The sequence below is a fragment of the Homo sapiens genome, chromosome 13, assembly GCF_000001405.40.
Source record: "Homo sapiens chromosome 13, GRCh38.p14 Primary Assembly".
Lineage (NCBI taxonomy): Eukaryota > Metazoa > Chordata > Mammalia > Primates > Hominidae > Homo > Homo sapiens.
In genome coordinates this window covers 48,478,508-48,494,920 of record NC_000013.11, presented here as the reverse complement: position 1 = coordinate 48,494,920, position 16,413 = coordinate 48,478,508, and the positions used below count along the sequence as shown (strand labels likewise).

The window sequence follows — 16,413 nt, the reverse complement described above, 5'->3', positions numbered from 1 at the left end:
ATATATTTGTAAATACTTGAAACCTAGATTTTTTTTCACTTAACATTAAAAAAAAAGTACTACCTCAAAACAATGACATTTAACAGCACAGTGAATGTTTTATATCAAGGCAATAACATATTGGGCACTTACAACACAGAATGTTTCATGGTCAGACAAAATCCATGCACTTTTCCTAGTCCATTCTTGAGCATCACAGTGATGAGCCACGGTGATGGAGGGCCATCTCAGATGTCAAGATGGTGGCACGTGGTGTTTGCATCTGAATCAGGCTTCATTTTTAATACTTTTTTATATTCTCTATTTATGTGAATTATTTGTCTGGCTACCTTCCAGCTCTCTGTTTTCTAGAAAGTAAGCTCTTTGAGGCATGGCAGGGACTTTGTTTTGCTCACAACCATATCCCCAGCGCCTAGGACGGTGTCTGACACAGAGTAGGTACCTACTAAATACCCCTTTCATGGATGTTCAGTTTTGCCTATAGAGATGCACTGTTGTACTACAGCCTGTCCAGCTAATTGCTGTACCCTAAATTAGTATAATAGACTATAAGTAAAATAGACTGTATATGTACTTAATGTAAAATACAAGCTTTCGTAAATAAAGAACAGTGCTGTATTTGATTTGCCTGGCTCAAATAAGCAAGAAATGGGCTCTTTCAGCAAATTATTATCCCTCATGCTGGACTGTCACTTAGTACATAATTAATATGAGCCAGGGATTATTCTAAGCACAGTTCATGTTTCATTTACTCCTCAAAACAACCTTATATGACATAGGCATTATTATATTAGATCCAGTTTATAAATGAGAAAACTGAAGCTTGGAAAGATTAAGTAATCTGAGTAAACTAGTAAACTGCAAAACTGGGATACAGTCCAAGATTGGGCACATTTTAAAACCGCATGTTTAACTACAATTCTCCATTGTCCTCAGTATTTTGAAATCAGGAGTATTTATGCATGGATTCAACAAATATTCACTGAGTGCCTGCTACATGCCTGGCACTGCCCTACGCACTGGGGTACTGCAAATGAACAAAACAATCCAAAATCTCTGCTCTCATGGGAATTTCTGGTGAGGGGAGATAGGTGATCAATAAATGAATAGGATATATAGTATGTCAGATGGTGACAAGTGATATGGAAAGAAGTAAGACAGGGAAGACAGCCTAGGGAATGCCATCCTGAGATGAAAGTTGAAATTTTAAATAGAATGGTCAGGGAGGCAAGACATCAGTGAGCAGGTGACTCAAGCAGAGACCTGAAGGAGGTGTGGGTGGTGTGTTCTGGGAAAAGCAAGCCCGGTGTGGAGGGAGCACAGTGGGGAGGGAAGTAGCTGATGAGGCAGGGAGATGGTGCGGTGGAGGTGCACAGTGGCGTGTGTGGGAGGAGGCAGGGCCTGCAGAGTCCATAGGCAAGTTTCAGGAATCAGAGTTCCAAGGTGAGTGGCCATCAGAGGGTTTGGAGAGGAGCAGATATGATGGGCATTTGAAGTAATCCTCCTGCCTCCTGGCTGCTGTGTTGAGGAGGGAGGGAGGGAGGTAGGGAGAGAGAGAGAGGGTGAGAGAGAGAAGAGAAGAGAGAGAGAGAGAGAGAGAGAGAGTGTGTGTGTGTGTGTGTGTGTGTGTGGAGAGAGAGAGAGGGTGAGAGAGAGAAGAGTGTGTGTGTGTGTGTGTGTGTGTGTGTGTGTGTGAAGGAGGGTACTTAGGAGGCTGTATAATCCAGTAAGTGATGATGGTGGATTGGTCCAAGTTATCACCTGTGGGGATGGTAAAAAGTGGTTAAGATTTTGAATACATTTTGAAAGTAGAGCCAACAGGATGTGCGGATGGATTAGATGTGAGGAAAAAAAAGACGACTGAGGAGGTTCTGTCCCTCAGCAGCTGTAAGGATGAAAGTGGCATCTATTGAGATATAGAAGATAGGAGCAACATTTTGGGGGAAATATCAGAAATTTGGTTTTGAATATGAGAAGTATGTGATGTCTATTAGACATCCAAATGGAAATGTCTAATAAGCAAATTGGATAAGCAAGCCTGGAAGTCAGAGAGAAATGTGCTGAAGTCAAAGCTATGAGGCAGTGACGTGAGACAGGTTTGAAGATTAAGTCCTGAGCACTCTGTGCTTAGAGGTTAAGGAGATAAGGAGACACCAGCAAAGGAGACTGAAGAGGAGTGAGCAGTAACGGAAGAGAGAAACCAGCAGACCGTTTCCTGCAGGCTGGGAAAGAAAGCGAAACAGGAAGGAAGAAGTCCGAACCACACCAGATGCTGCTGGCACGTCTGCACGAGGACTGAGAACTGACGAGTGGGTTTGGCGATGAGAACGCCGGAGGGGCCTTGGCAAGCAGTTTTAGCGCAGTGAGGCGGGAAGTCTGATCGGAGCGTGGAAGTAGAGGAACTGAAGATGGGGAATAGAGGCAGCTTTTCATGGTAATTTTATTATAAAGATAAAAAGGAAGAGCTTTGGGGCATTTGAGGTAAAACATCTTTACTTTTTTAAGATGTGGGAAATGGAAGCTTGTCTAATGATGCAAATGACTCAGTGAAGGGGAACAAGCCAGTGATGCAGGGGACAGTTGGTAGAGCAGGGCCCCTTAGTAGGTGGAGCAGTGGGATCTAGTGACAGAGCAAGGGCTCTGCTTTCTATAGGGTCTTGGACCTTTGATCCAGAGAAGATTGCATCCACAGGCCTCTCTGTAATAGGCAAGGAGACGTGGTGGGGAGAGCTTGTGGAGGTTCTTTTCAAGTGATTCTGGTTCTCAGTGAAATAGGAAGTCATGTCAGCTGAGGATGAGGATGAGAGGGGAGATGTCAGGCTTATGGGGAGAAGTATGAGAGTCCTGTAGGAGAATGAGCAAACTAGGAGAATGTGGTAGGACTGCAGGACAGAACAGAGGGCCCCATTTTGAACATGAAGCCATACAGAGTGGTAGCATTCAAAATAGACTACAATTCTTTAACTGAAAAATAATGGGGGCCTTGTTTTCTATGGACAGAATTCCCCTATAACCAGTACCACCACCCTATGCCAATTTATTGAATTCTTAGAATCACAGGAACTCTTTCCAAGTCCTGTCCTTAATTTAGTATTTAGGGGAAGATCCCACTCTAGAATAAAGTAAAGGAGCATGGATCCAAGTGATAACTTTTTAGGGTCCTTTCATTCTCCCATTAATTAGCAATTTTCCTGATGCTGTCCAGATCTGTGAGGCATCAAACTGCCCAGCCACCTAACTCCAGACACACTCTAATGTGTGTGGTGTAGGTATGAATTCCTCCATTCCTCTCTGTAGACTTCAGCCAAAGAGATGATGCATCTCTATCTGGTTTCACTTTTGTGTGCTGTAGGCAAAAATGTCATTTCTAAAAATTTAAGCAACAGCACATAATTTTAAATGGACTCTGAGATATTCAGCATGTATCATTGAAGCACATTTTTATGTATAGTATGCTGTGATGACAAGTGGGTGTGTGAATTTTCCCTGTTTATCACTGAGGGCTTACCTGGGACAGAGACACATCATATTGCTGGTGTGGTACCAACAGCCTGCCCAGTTATCTTCAGGCATGAAATAAACATTTTCCTAGTATAGTTTCTTTCTTTTCTTAAAAGAAAATGTACCGTAGGTTTATATGTACATTGGCAAGGCTATCAGCATTGCTATTTTTTTTATTTTTTCCATCTTCAGCATTTGCTATAATTTATGTCTAAAGAAGAAAAGACTATCGTGTGTAATGTTCATATGTAATTGCTTAGAAAGTATTTGGGGCTTTTATTTTTTATAAATTACCTACAGTAGCTTGGAGAGGAAACTTTTAAAAATTGACCACCACCTAGCAGCATCTTGTCCTAGGCCAAGTAGCCTAGGGTTTGAGGCATATTGGAGGTCTCAGCACCCTGCCCTCACTTCTCCAGGGCCAAAAAGCATCTGGTCAGCCTCATTCTGATTTTCAAGTTATAGTTCTAATCAAGAGAATTATTACAGCATTATTCTTTGGCCCAGAGTGCATTACAGTAAGCCAGAAAACACCAATCTGTTGGGTCTCTCTTACCAGAGACTTGGAAGTCATGATTTCTTTAAAGCATTTTCCCAGTTGAGATTATTGAAGGCATATGTAGTGTGATCAAATCCATCCATCCCATCCTGTGTCGTCTCATAAAGAGAAAAAGCGGTGGCCTGTTAATGACTTCAGAGCAGCAATTTCTTGGCATTACTGCTTTTTATGGCTTACCTTTTTCTTCCATCAACTCTTTATAGGCAGACATACTTAAAGACGCTGATATAAATATAAAAGAGGAGTATAGGGCTTTTAACAATTATTGAAAGTGAAATCAACAGTTACAAATACTGTCACTAGACAAAGGTACCAAGGAATTCACACACTCACATGCCTATCTCTGGGAAGAAAAAGTTAGATTCTTTACCTAGGTTAGTGCGGAGGAACTTGAATGTTACTCTGTGCTACTTAAATTTTTACAAGCATAGATGATTCATACTTGTTATACTTTTTATGACTATTCTTTAGGTATTACCATGCCATCATTTCCTCCACTTGCCTATTAAATCCTTTTTCTTTGCCTAACTTGTTTTAGCGATTTTCATGCTATGTTGCATTGAATTAGTAAATATGAATTTATTAAACCATCTTTGTTGTTGTTCCTAGGATTTAGAAGAATTCTGCTTCAGGTTTTGCATAAACCATCTGACTGTAGTAACACAAACATCAGGTTTTGCAGAAATGGACCATGATCTCCTGAAGAACTTTATCAGCAAAGCAAGCAGAGTTGGAGCCTTTAAAAATTGATCCCATCTGCAGGAAAGTTTTTGAGCCTTTCCATTTCCCCTGCAAAAGCCAGAGATGAATCACTTCTCTTTAATTAATAGTATGTATGATGAGCTATGTTTGGCTGAGTACTTGTAACTGTCAGAAGAAGGATGGTGGTGAGTGGTCTTTGTCTGCCTAAACCCAGAGTTTATGTAGAAAGCATTGAATGTTCTGATCAGATGTGACTAAGGTCAAGGAAAAAAAATTGAAATATCTTATTTACCATTTCCTCTTTTTGAGTCACTTAAATTGGACACCTTTGGTACCCTGGTCTCAGTATATGCTATTCTGGCCCAAATGTTCCATTATTCAGCTGGCTGATACCACATAGATAGCTTGACAAGGAGTGCTGTCTGTCCTTACCACATTTTCAGCACTCAGCACAGTGCCTTGTGTATAATAGGCACTCAATTTATTATAAATCTTCAGTATGTCCTGAGAACAGCTTTAGTCATGGAATACTGGGAGAAGGAATAACTTTCACAAAATAAACTTAAAACAGCCTGTAATTATTGAGGTTCATATTCTTCTGGTATATCATTCTGAGAAATTGTGGCTAATTTAGAACATTGTTTAGAATTGACAAAAGGCCCTGGCAATTAAATTGTCAAGGCCCAAGGGCTAATTTTAATTTTCTTTTTACTTGGAGTCATTCATTAATTTCTCACATGGGATTATGGAGTATGAAGTATTATCTTTGAATGAAATTCCTGGGCTGATCTGCCTTACATAATCACATAAGGTCCTTTGCTTTTCTTTGTGTTAAGAGGGACTTGCCTCTGTAAATGAAAATGACAATGTGCTTTTCTTGTAGTTGACTTTCATGTCACTCACTATAAAATAGGTCTCTTAACCTGGCACCAGTATAACTATAAAGCACTAGCTGAGAAGGAACTGATACTTACATTTCATGGACAGCATTAACAAGAATGAGATAAATTTGTACTTTTTAGATCAAAACAAATTACCTAATTGCAAAAGAGAAACTGAAATGGAACATAGTCTCAGATTCTTCTAATGTGTATCTCACAATGTCATGTAATGTAAAGGAAACCCTTTTGGAATTAGAATTCTTGTTCTGATGCTGAACTATTTGGTAATAAAGTGCTTATTTGCAGATAACAGAACAAATGTGTTGGGGTTTTTTTTAATCCCAAAACAGCAGCAAAATTATAAAATGTCAACCTCATGTCTCTTAGATGTACATAAATAAATTGGATATATTATGCTCTTATCAAGCAGTTACTCGGATAAAGTCTCATAGGAAAGCCCACCCTAGACCACAAATAGCTTATAAACAACCTAATTATCATTCATATTATTGTCTTGGTCTGCTCTTTATTGGTGAGGTGACTTTTTTGAAGACTATTTTTGTAGAGCAGTTTTAGGTTCACAGCAAAACTGTGAAGAAAACACAGTTTTCCCTTATGCCTCATGCCCTACACATGCGCAGCCTTCCCTGCTGTCAACACCCCCCACCAGAGTGGTGCATTTGTTATACCTGATGAACCTGCTTGGACACATCATTATCACCCACGGTCCATAGTTTACATTAGGGTCCATTGTTGGTGGTGCACATTCTGTGAGTTTGGACAAATGTATAATGACCTGTGTCCATCATTATTGTATCATAGAGAGTGGTTTCATTGCCCTAAAAATCCTCTGAGCTCTGCGGAATTCATCCCTTCCTCCTTTGCCCCTAACTCCTGGCAGCCATGGATCTTTTTACTGTATCCATAGTTTTGCCTTTTCCAGAATGTCCTATCGTTGGAATCATACAGTATATAGCCTTTTTGGATTGGTTTTTCACTTAATAATATGCAATTAAGTTTCCACAAGTCTTTTCGTGGCTTGATAGCTCATTTCTTTTTAGTGCTGAATAATACTCCATTGCCTGGATGTACCACAGTTTATCCATTCACCTCCTGAAGGACATCTTGGTTTCTTCCAAGTTTTGGCAATTACAAATAAAGCTACTATAAACATCTGTGTACAGGTTTTTGTGTGGACATAAGTTTTCAACTCCTTTGGGTAAATACCAAGGAGCATGATTACTGGATTATATGTTAAGAGTATTTTTTTTTTTTTAAGAAACTGTCAAACTGTAGTTCAAAGTGGCTGTACCGTTTTTCATGTCCATGAGCAGTGAATGAGAGTTCTAGTTGCTCCACATCCTCACCAGCATTAGGTGTTGTCAGTGTTCCAGATTTGGGCCATTCTAATAGGTGTATAGTGCCATCTCATTTTTGTTTTAATTTGCATTTCCCTGATAACATAGGATGTGGAGTATTTTTTCATGTGCTTATTTGCTATCTGCATATCTTCTTTGATGAGGCATCTGTTCAGATTGGTAGCCAATTTTTAAATCTTTTTTTAAAATTGTTTTGAGTTCATTGTATATTTTGGGTAACAGTCCTTTATCTGATATGTCTTTTGCAAATATTTTCTCCCAGTTTGTGGCTTGTCTTTTCATTCTCTTCGTTGGGTCACATTTTGAATCCATTATTTCTGCTATGATTTGGATGTGGTTTGTCCTTTGCCAAAACTCATATTGAAATTTGATCCCCACTGTGGTGGTGTTGGGAGGCCTTAGGGACTGGTGGGAAGTGTATGGGTCCTGGGGGCAGATCCATTGTGAATAGATTAATGCCCTCCAGCAAGAGTGGGTTCTGGTTCTCTTGGGACTGAATTAGTTCCCAAGACTGAGTTGTTATAAAAGGGGTTTCAGGCCGGGTGTGGTGGCTCACACCTGCAATCGCAGCACTTTGGGAAGCCAAGGCGGGCGAATCATAAGGTCAGGAGTTCAAGACTAGCCTGGCCAACATGGTGAAACCCCATCTCTATTAAAAATACAAAAAATTAGCCAGGTGAAGTGGCGGGCACCTGTAATCCCAGCTACTCGGGAGGCTGAGGCAAGAGAATCACTTGAACCTGGCAGGCGGAGGTTGCAGTGAGCTGAGATTGGCACCACTGCACTCTAGCCTGGTGACAGAGTGAGACTCTGTCTAAAAAATCAAAGGGATTTCAGCGACCTTGGTTTCTCACCACATGATCTCTTTGTGCACGTCTGCCCCACTTTGGCTTTCCACCATGACTTGAAGCAGCCCCAGGTCCCCAGCAGATGCATCTGCCCAATCTTGAAGCTTCCAGCCACCAGAACCATGAGCCAAATACACCCCTCTAATTTATGAATTAACTCAGCCTCAGTTATTCTGTTACAGCAACACTAAATGGACAGAGTTTCTCTTTAACAAATTGCTTAACCATTTTTCTTCAGACTTTATCTGGTAGAGGCAGAGTCTGAGTGTCTCTAGATCTAAATCTGAATCCTGTTTTTAAAACTATATAGTTTTATTCTGTTGTTATTTTAAAAGTAGCATTATACCATTTGTTTTCATTTTTTGATAAGTTTGCTATTTTATCCAACAAAAAAACATTCAAACATGGCAAGCACCTATAGCATCTGTTCTGGCCATTAGACAACCACAGTCTTTGTTTCTTTGGTCTCTCTCCCCCACCTTCCTGTGCTAGCTATAGCTGACCAAGCTTTTATAGCTTCACAGTGTCTTCCTTTTTCTTGCTTATTTCTGACAGGGTCTTCTGAAGCTCCTCAGTGCCTTTTTCTTTTGTGAACTCACTTCATATAAAAATTGGAACACTCAAAGGGGAACAGATAAGTTTACTGGGGGATGAAAAATGGACTACTTTTACACACTCCACCATGGGTCAGTAGGCATACTGCCAGAGTACAGATTGTTACTCTGGACTCTTACCCCGTTTTGCTCCCTAAGCTTTGTTTTGTGTAGGTTTACATGCTTCTTATCTCTGCACACAACAGAATAATCTATGGATTTTTTTTTTTTTTTTTTTTTTTTTTTGAGACGGAGTCTCGCTCTGTCGCCCAGGCTGGAGTGCAGTGGTGCGATCTCGGCTCACTGCAAGCTCTGCCTCCCGGGTTCACGCCATTCTCCTGCGTCAGCCTCCCGAGTAGCTGGGACTACAGGTGCCCGCCACCACGCCCAGCTAATTTTTTGTATTTTTAGTAGAGACGGGGTTTCACAGTGTTAGCCAGTATGGTCTCGATCTCCTGACCTCATGATTTGCCAATTTGCCTGCCTTGGCCTCCCAAAGTGCTGGGATTACAGGCGTGAGCTACTGCGCCTGGCCTTTTTTTTTTTTTTTTTTTAAGACAGAGTCTTGCTCTGTTTGCCCAGCAGGCTGGAGGCGCGATCTCAGCTCACTGCAACCTCTGCCTCCCGGGTTCAAGCGATTCTCCTGTCTCAGCCTCCTAAGTAGCTGAGACCACAGGTGCACACCACCATGCCCAGATAATTTTTGTATCTTTAGTAGTGACAGGGTTTCATCATACTGGTCAGGCTGGTCTCAAACTCCTGACCTCAGGTGATCCACCCACCCTGGCATCTCAAAGTGCTGGGATTACAGTCATGAGCCACCACGCCCTGCCCAAATTCAGTACATTTTAAAAGCTCCACAAGTAATTTGATGTTCAGCCAAGGATGAGAATTAGTGGTTTAGCCCTTAAAACTTCTGACGCCAAACAATAAAGAAGAGCTAGTTTTAGATCTGAGAGATGACAGATGAGTCCTGGGTGTGGGTACATCTATCTGAAAAAACATGCTTTCTTTCTGGTCTTTGAGGATAGGCTTGCCATTGACACTCCTATGGGAAGGAGAAAGATTTCCTTTTTAAAATTTCCTTCTAACAGATGAGTGTTTGAAGAACCTTAGTGATATGAGAGAAAAGGTACATTTTCATAAGGACACTACATTAGAAATTAATGGATCCTTTTTTTTGCACAAGTTTATCTTAGATTTTCCCAAAAGTTTTGTTTCCTCTCTTGCTCACACAAGGAAGTCAATGTTTTAGTGCTTCTAAAATAATTGTCCACTAATTTACACAGAGAAAGGTTAAGATTTTATAGGAATGAAGAAGTGCCCTCATCTGCTGATAGAGGTTTGTGAAGATGCCATTGAATTCATTTTAAAAAACAAAGGTTAAGAATGTTAAGTATGTTCTTCAGGTTATAGTTCATGTAAATTGCCAGTCATTCTGGACCTTAACATGGAGAGTTTTATTTAGAGGCTGGATTCTTAACCAAGAATAATGAAAAGATGCAACTACAAACTATATAATCTTAACTATCTTATTATGCAACCCCCCTTTATTACATCAACAGAGTTGGGAGAATTGTGAAGAGAAAGGAAAAAATCAAATCTTACTGTTATTTTTAATTCAATCTTTGTCAAAACACATAGAAATACAAAGCTTACCAATTTTCTCAGTAAATTCAGTTAAAAATAACATTTTGCATTTAGGAAGTAACTGAGGTTGGTCTGTGTAGTAAATTTAACCTTTCGTATTGTCATTGTTTAATATGACAATTGTCATATGTCAATACTACTATATATAGTCCCAAGATAATGGACACACAAAAAAAGTATTGAGAATGGATGACTATGCTTACTGTGTATTAAAAGAGCTTGTTTGAATCTCACGTAGATATTATACAGTGCTACCATATTTCTATTTAAGAAGCTACACCTATGGTGGAAATTTAATATTTCTGGAGGTAAGGTTTGAGTCGTCCTGTAAAATATCTATTTAGTCCAAAGGAAAATTCTACTGAAACTTTACTTATGCTATGTATACTATATTGGCCCTAAAATGAGGAACAAAAATGTACTTCTAAAAGCAAGTTTCTATGAAACCATCCAGATGATAATAGAACTAGTATAACTAGTTTGTTCCTGGCCATTTGTACCTTTAGAAAGCTGTAATGAAAAAGTAAATAGGCCAGGTGCAGTGGTTCACACCTGTAATCCCAACACTTTGGGAGGCCAAAGTGGGCGGATCACCTGAGGTCAGGAGTTCGAGACCAGCCTGGTCAACATGACAAAACCCCATCTCTACTGAAAATACAAAAAGTAGCCGGCGTGGTGGTGTGCTCCTGCAATCCCAGCTACTGGGGAGGCTGAGGCAGGAGAATCGCCTGAGCCCGGGAGGTAGAGGTTGCAGTGAGCCAAGATCGTGCCATTGCATTCCAGCCTGGGCAACAAGAGTGAGACTCCATCTCAAAAAAAAAAAAAAGTAAATATATGAATTTGAATTTGCCCCTTTTATTATAGTGAGTATTTATTCATTGGAATACTAAATTCATCTCTAGAAGTGAACAATTCTCTGCCATGCAGACAAAATTTTTTAGTGTCATTTAGGCTGCTTGATTTTGACGTGACCTAAGAGACTGCATTTCATTTAAGATCCCCGCCCAATATAAATACAGCCTACTGAGATATGCTTGCTGCTTTTCCTGCTCTGCGCACTTTGCCTTTCTTCTTTCAGGAACAAACATGTCACTGTCCCAGAAGGAAAGAATTTCATCTGCCATGTTTTTGAGAAATCATATAAATTTAAGATAATCCCTTGTCTGAAACCCTTGGTGCCAGATGGGTTTCATAATTTTGGGGGAGTTTAGAATGATTAGAATGATAATATGGTACGTATGCCAAATAATACCTAACACCTAAGGTGGGTCTGGGTTAGCTCCCAATCAAACATATTAATATTTCTGCAGTGAAATGAGAATATTCCAATTATGATAAAGATTATAAATAGCTCTGTGCCAGTTTACATATGGTTTTGATGCCATATGACTTTTGGCACAAAACACACAGAATCACTGGATTTTAAAGCTTTCTCAATTTTGGAACTACAGATAAAGGATTATAGACTTGTAATATACATAAAGGCCTTTTATACTTTGCATTAGACGAAGAGAGATACTTGCTGCCCATTTTGCTATGACCTCCTAATCGTTCTTCAAACACACCAGACATACTCCTACCTCTCTCTGTGGAATGTTTGACTCCTGTTTGTGTCTGGCTCACTCTCTTGTCTCCTTCAGATCTTTGCCCAAATATCACTCAAGTCTTTCCCTGATCACTCTCTTTTAAATTTTAAAACTCCTTTCCCTACCAGCCTTCCTTGCCCTCCTCTTTGCTTTGTTTTTCTCTGCAGTCTTTAATACAATCTCACATACTATGTATTCCTCATTTATTCATTCATTTGCTCTCTTTGCCTGAAACTAGAAAGTCAGTTCTGCAAGGATGGGGATTTTGGTTTTATTTATTCATTGTTATAGCTCTAGCATTTAGAACTGTGCCTGGAATATGGTAGATACTAGTACATGGCATTTTAAAAGAGGAAGAGAGTGTTGTTTGTTGTCACATACTTGGAAAAATATGGAAAACATATATTCTGTTTCTTACTCTACAGATGGACTTTCTAGGTGCTAGACCTAAAGTGGTAAATAAGAATAGATAGGCTGATGGTTACAATCTGGGGTGGGGAGTGGCTAGGGATGGGGAGACAGGTAACAAGAAAGGCAATTTCAGATGGTGGGAAATAGTCATAGATGGATGCTGTTACACTTTTGAAGGAGAATGATACAATACACAGTGATGATTTTAGCTTGGTGGTCAAGGAAGCCCTCTGAGCTGAGTTCTGAAAGACAGAAAGGCACTGGCTATGCAAAACTGTGGGAAAAGAGTATTCCAGGCAGAAGGAAGAAGAAATATAAAAGCCTAAGGTAAGAATAGGCTTGGCATTTTAAAGAAAAAGGTTCAGTGTGGCTAAAGCACAGTGACAAGGAGAAAATTCTACAAGATGAGGATGGGAAGTCAGTAGGGGCTTTATAATTCCTGTTAAGTACTTCAAGTAGAGAGCAATGTGAATCAATTTATATTTTTAAACAATCATTTTTGTTCTTTGTGGAGTTTGACAGTAAAGAAAGAAAGGGAACAGGGAGACTGGTTAGAAGTCTTTAGCAGTGGTCCAGACAAGAATTAATAGATAGCTCCTAAGTTTTTGACTTGATAAATGTTTAATAAAATGGAGAAAGACCAGGGTAGAAAAAAAAGATTTTTATTTATTTGATTTTAGTTTATATTTGGAGACATTGGGTAGAGGGGAGTAGGAATCAAGAGTTCTGTTGGCTATAAAAGCCTTGACCTCTGTGAAAAGATCAGGGCTGAAGAAATAAATTTGGAAATCTCTAGCATATAGAGCCCCTTAAAGGCTAGGAATGGATGAGATACTAGGAGAGTTATCTTCTATCTATCTTCTCCTAGACAGAAAAGAGAACATTAGTGTACTTAATACAAAGAACACAACATCAGACCATTAAGACTCTTAACAACTAATTTATTTTAAAATAGACAAACTATTAATTGTAGAAAATAGTAACATAGCAATTTTAAATGTACAGTTTTAACCAATACAAAAAAGCAATAAAGCAATAATATCTGAAGCATTATTTAAGAAATCTCAATACACGATCTCTGAAGTTCCTAAAATTCTGGCACTAATTCTAATGTGAACTTAGTAGCAAAAGACCCAGAAATAGTAAGCCCTTGACCTAAAAACTAACTGATTTGTATGATATTCATGCAGAAACAATGATGAAATGGAGTCAAGTTTTCTAGTGTCATTGTTATCAAAATAACTGTCAAAATAGTAAGTTTGAAACTTAAATGAGCACAAAATAAAATTTTGTTTTCTAACAAGACCAGATTTCTTTTTAAAAATAATTCTGAGTTAGACAAAGTGATTTTCCTAAAAGCTAGCTGAAGCTACCTTAAATATCCCCTATTTTAAGTTACAGCATCTCTAAATAAGTTAATCACACAAGATAGTTTAAATACACCTTTAGGTGTAGGGGAGGGGAGAAGCGCCTCTTTTTCTAATGCAGCTGTTTTAATTTGAAGCTTTTGCACAAAATCAGATAGAAACATTAATGCCTAACCCATAATGACCCTTGATTACTTGTAATTTTGGACTAGAAATAATGTGGCTTTGAACATGCCAGTGTTAGACCATACTGACTTAAAAAAATAAAAGATAAATAGACAATTGCCAGTTCAAAAGATACATGGAAGACATGTACCATTCCAGAGAAAACACAAACCTTCCCAAATTAAGGAGGGCAGAATAATTTTGAGATGCAATTAGACAAATCTCTATGAAAAAAAAATTAAGGCTCCTATAATTAACAGTCTGTTTATGGAGTAAAATTAATTTGTATCTTAATTCTTCAGGACCCAGAAACATTAGAAAGTGCACTTGGGATATACTGTGTTAGGGTCCTCTATACCTAAGATCTGGCAGAACACTTTACTTTTTCAAGTACTAGATGGGTACTTTATAAATTCAGTGATCTGAATGGTATAAAAACCAAGAGTACTATCAATAATCCTCATTTAAAAACATAAGTTGGATGAAGAAAATAATCAGTAAGTTCTTTTACATTCTGAGGTATGAAATCTGTTTCAGTAGTATGATAGTATCATATGGTTATACTTTGCTTCCAGCTTTTATTTAATTAAAAGCAAAATTTTATAAAACAAGCACACAGTATATCAGATTCCAATAGTAAAATAAAATCTAATGTGTAAAATTAGTAATTTTTTTCTAATTTCTAATAATATCCATTTTTGCAGAAGAGTTCAGGATAATTTTGGTGAATGGGCAGTCAATCAAATTGCATTTGGAAGATAGATAGGACACATTTTCTAAGGGTGTTCATGTTAAATTAAAAAAATATACATATAAATTAATAAAAACAAGAGCAAACATCACCTATATGCTACAAAAGAAGGCAAAGTAGTCAGACAGGCCTGGGTTATCAGGACTCCCACTCTAGGGCCATTCTTACTATCCATAAAGCACAGCAATTTTACTTTGGAAGAGGAAACAATCTGCTACAACTTTTTAAATGGCAGGATTTACACAAGATTTTCAATCTTGTATAAATAACAATGACTAACATTTCAAGTGGCTTAGGAATCACCCAAACAATTGCATCTGCACATTTTATATCCACAAAAAGAGCTGAAGATATTAAATGTGGCCATAAACAGAACCTGGGAAAGTTATACAGTCACATCTGTGAGAGACAATGAATCCAGAGGTGTACACAGTGTCCACCAAGGTCCTGAGATCCTCATTTCTCTTCCTTGTTTGAGGTATCCATGCTATCATTCATTTTCTGCTTTTGCATTCGTGTTCGAGTAGAAGCTGGAAAAAGGATGAAGAACTGTTAACAGCATTGATGGTACTGGGTAAGTTGGCAAGTGGCTGCCATATATATTATGCTCATGTCAAACTGATGGCGCTCAGGACCTTGCAAAAGCAGTGGTCTTCATTCTAGTATTTGACAGTACCGTAGGGAGTTACAGTTAATTTACTGCATATTTCAAAATAGCTAGAATTGTAATGTTCCCAATGCAAAGAAAAATGTTTGAGGTGATATATATCCCAATAACCCTGATTTGATCATTACACATTGTGTACACGTATCAAAACATCACATGTACCCCTAAAATATGTATAACTATGATATATCAATTAAAAAAAAAATTCCCTCCCCACCCCCCAAAAAAACAGTGGTCTCCAAATCTTTAAAAATCATATATCCCTGTGAGTAAATTTTTTTCCAAGCCTGTACCACAAAAATACGTATGTATGTACAAATTATAAAACACATACCCCAAGCAAACATTAAAATGAGATAAATAGAACTTCTACTTTATGTACCCCAAAAGATGACTTTGCATACTTCAGGTATGCCCCATTTTGTAGGCCACTATTCTAGAGATGAGGTGGTTGATGCTTGGCATATACTTCAGCAGACTAGAATACTCGGCTGGCCCAGACTGAATCTGCCAGAGTGAGTGGTGGTATTCTTTACAAAGCTATAGGTTCCCTTATGTTTGCAGATGCCTTGCAGGTACTGCAAATACATCAAATCATAGCTCATTTAAACTGGGCATGGATTTTTTTTTTTTGAGACAAGGTCTTGCTCTGTTGCCCAAGCTGGAGTGCAGTGGCATGATCATGGCTCACTACAGCTTTGACCTTCTGGGCTCAAGCAATTCTCTCACCTCAGCCTCTCCAGTAGCCAAGACTACAGGCACATGCCACCAGGCCTGGCTAATTTTTGGATTTTTTTGTAAAGATGGGGTCTTGCTATGTTGCCCAGGCTGGTCTTGAACTCCTGGCCTCAAGCAATCCTCTCACCTTGCCCTCCCATAGTGCTGGTATTACAGACATAAGCCATCATGCCTACCCGGGGCATGGCCATGTTAAAAGCATATTATGAATTACAATATAGACAAAGCCGGGATACTTATTAAATTTCTTAAAAATTCTTAACTTGATTTTAGAGGTAGGCATGAGTTCTTTATAAAGAAGCACATTTGGAAAAATGGAATGCCCTTCCATTCTGGGCAATCCAGCATTGTATGATGATCTTTTCTAAATGTAATTCTTTAAGAAAAGCTGAAGAGCATCCTAAAGAAATGCCTTAGCCTCAGGGGTTAAAATTCTGCCTGCTTTGTCACAATTTTGTAGATGCACAAAGGTCCTGAACTTTGGCCTGGCAGAGGAAGCTCGCCATCATAGCTAAGTGTGTCACTGGGAAATGTACTAACTATAGCAACTGAACACTTCTCTAAGAAAATATACATGTTTTTACAGCTTTCAGCTCCTTTTTAAGTGCATATTTG

At 38.8% G+C, this 16,413-nt stretch overlaps 2 protein-coding genes across 16 annotated transcripts in view, besides 3 other annotated features; one reads left to right on the top strand and one right to left on the bottom strand.

Moving 5' to 3' along the window:
- The window catches only part of RCBTB2 (RCC1 and BTB domain containing protein 2), a 46,933-nt gene extending 40,975 nt beyond the window's left edge, over positions 1–5,958 (top strand). For all 13 annotated transcript variants that reach the window (NR_147985.2, NM_001352429.2, NM_001286832.2 and 10 more), the window contains one exon: positions 4,670–5,958. Coding sequence is in view for 12 of the 13 variants with exons in the window: in NM_001352429.2 (NP_001339358.1) it covers positions 4,670–4,810 (141 nt within the window). In the remaining variant the exon portion in view is untranslated. The remainder of the gene's footprint in view (positions 1–4,669) is intronic.
- Positions 1,361–1,440: an enhancer, noted in NCBI's record as "active region_7730". NCBI's record gives its function as "activates an Ori minimal core promoter by ATAC-STARR-seq in GM12878 lymphoblastoid cells {active_cell/tissue: GM12878}" and the evidence as "EXISTENCE:reporter gene assay evidence [ECO:0000049][PMID:35858748]".
- Positions 5,642–5,691: an enhancer, noted in NCBI's record as "active region_7729". NCBI's record gives its function as "activates an Ori minimal core promoter by ATAC-STARR-seq in GM12878 lymphoblastoid cells {active_cell/tissue: GM12878}" and the evidence as "EXISTENCE:reporter gene assay evidence [ECO:0000049][PMID:35858748]".
- Positions 5,702–5,841: an enhancer, noted in NCBI's record as "active region_7728". NCBI's record gives its function as "activates an Ori minimal core promoter by ATAC-STARR-seq in GM12878 lymphoblastoid cells {active_cell/tissue: GM12878}" and the evidence as "EXISTENCE:reporter gene assay evidence [ECO:0000049][PMID:35858748]".
- Positions 13,031–16,413, bottom strand: part of RB1 (RB transcriptional corepressor 1) — a 178,140-nt gene continuing 174,757 nt past the window's right edge. For 2 of the 3 annotated variants that reach the window (NM_000321.3, NM_001407168.1), the window contains one exon: positions 13,031–14,923. In NM_000321.3, the coding sequence (NP_000312.2) occupies positions 14,850–14,923 (74 nt within the window). In that variant the 3' untranslated portion in view covers positions 13,031–14,849. Of the gene's footprint in view, positions 14,943–16,413 lie in introns of all 3 variants that reach the window. The other variant, NM_001407165.1, reaches the window with a different exon arrangement.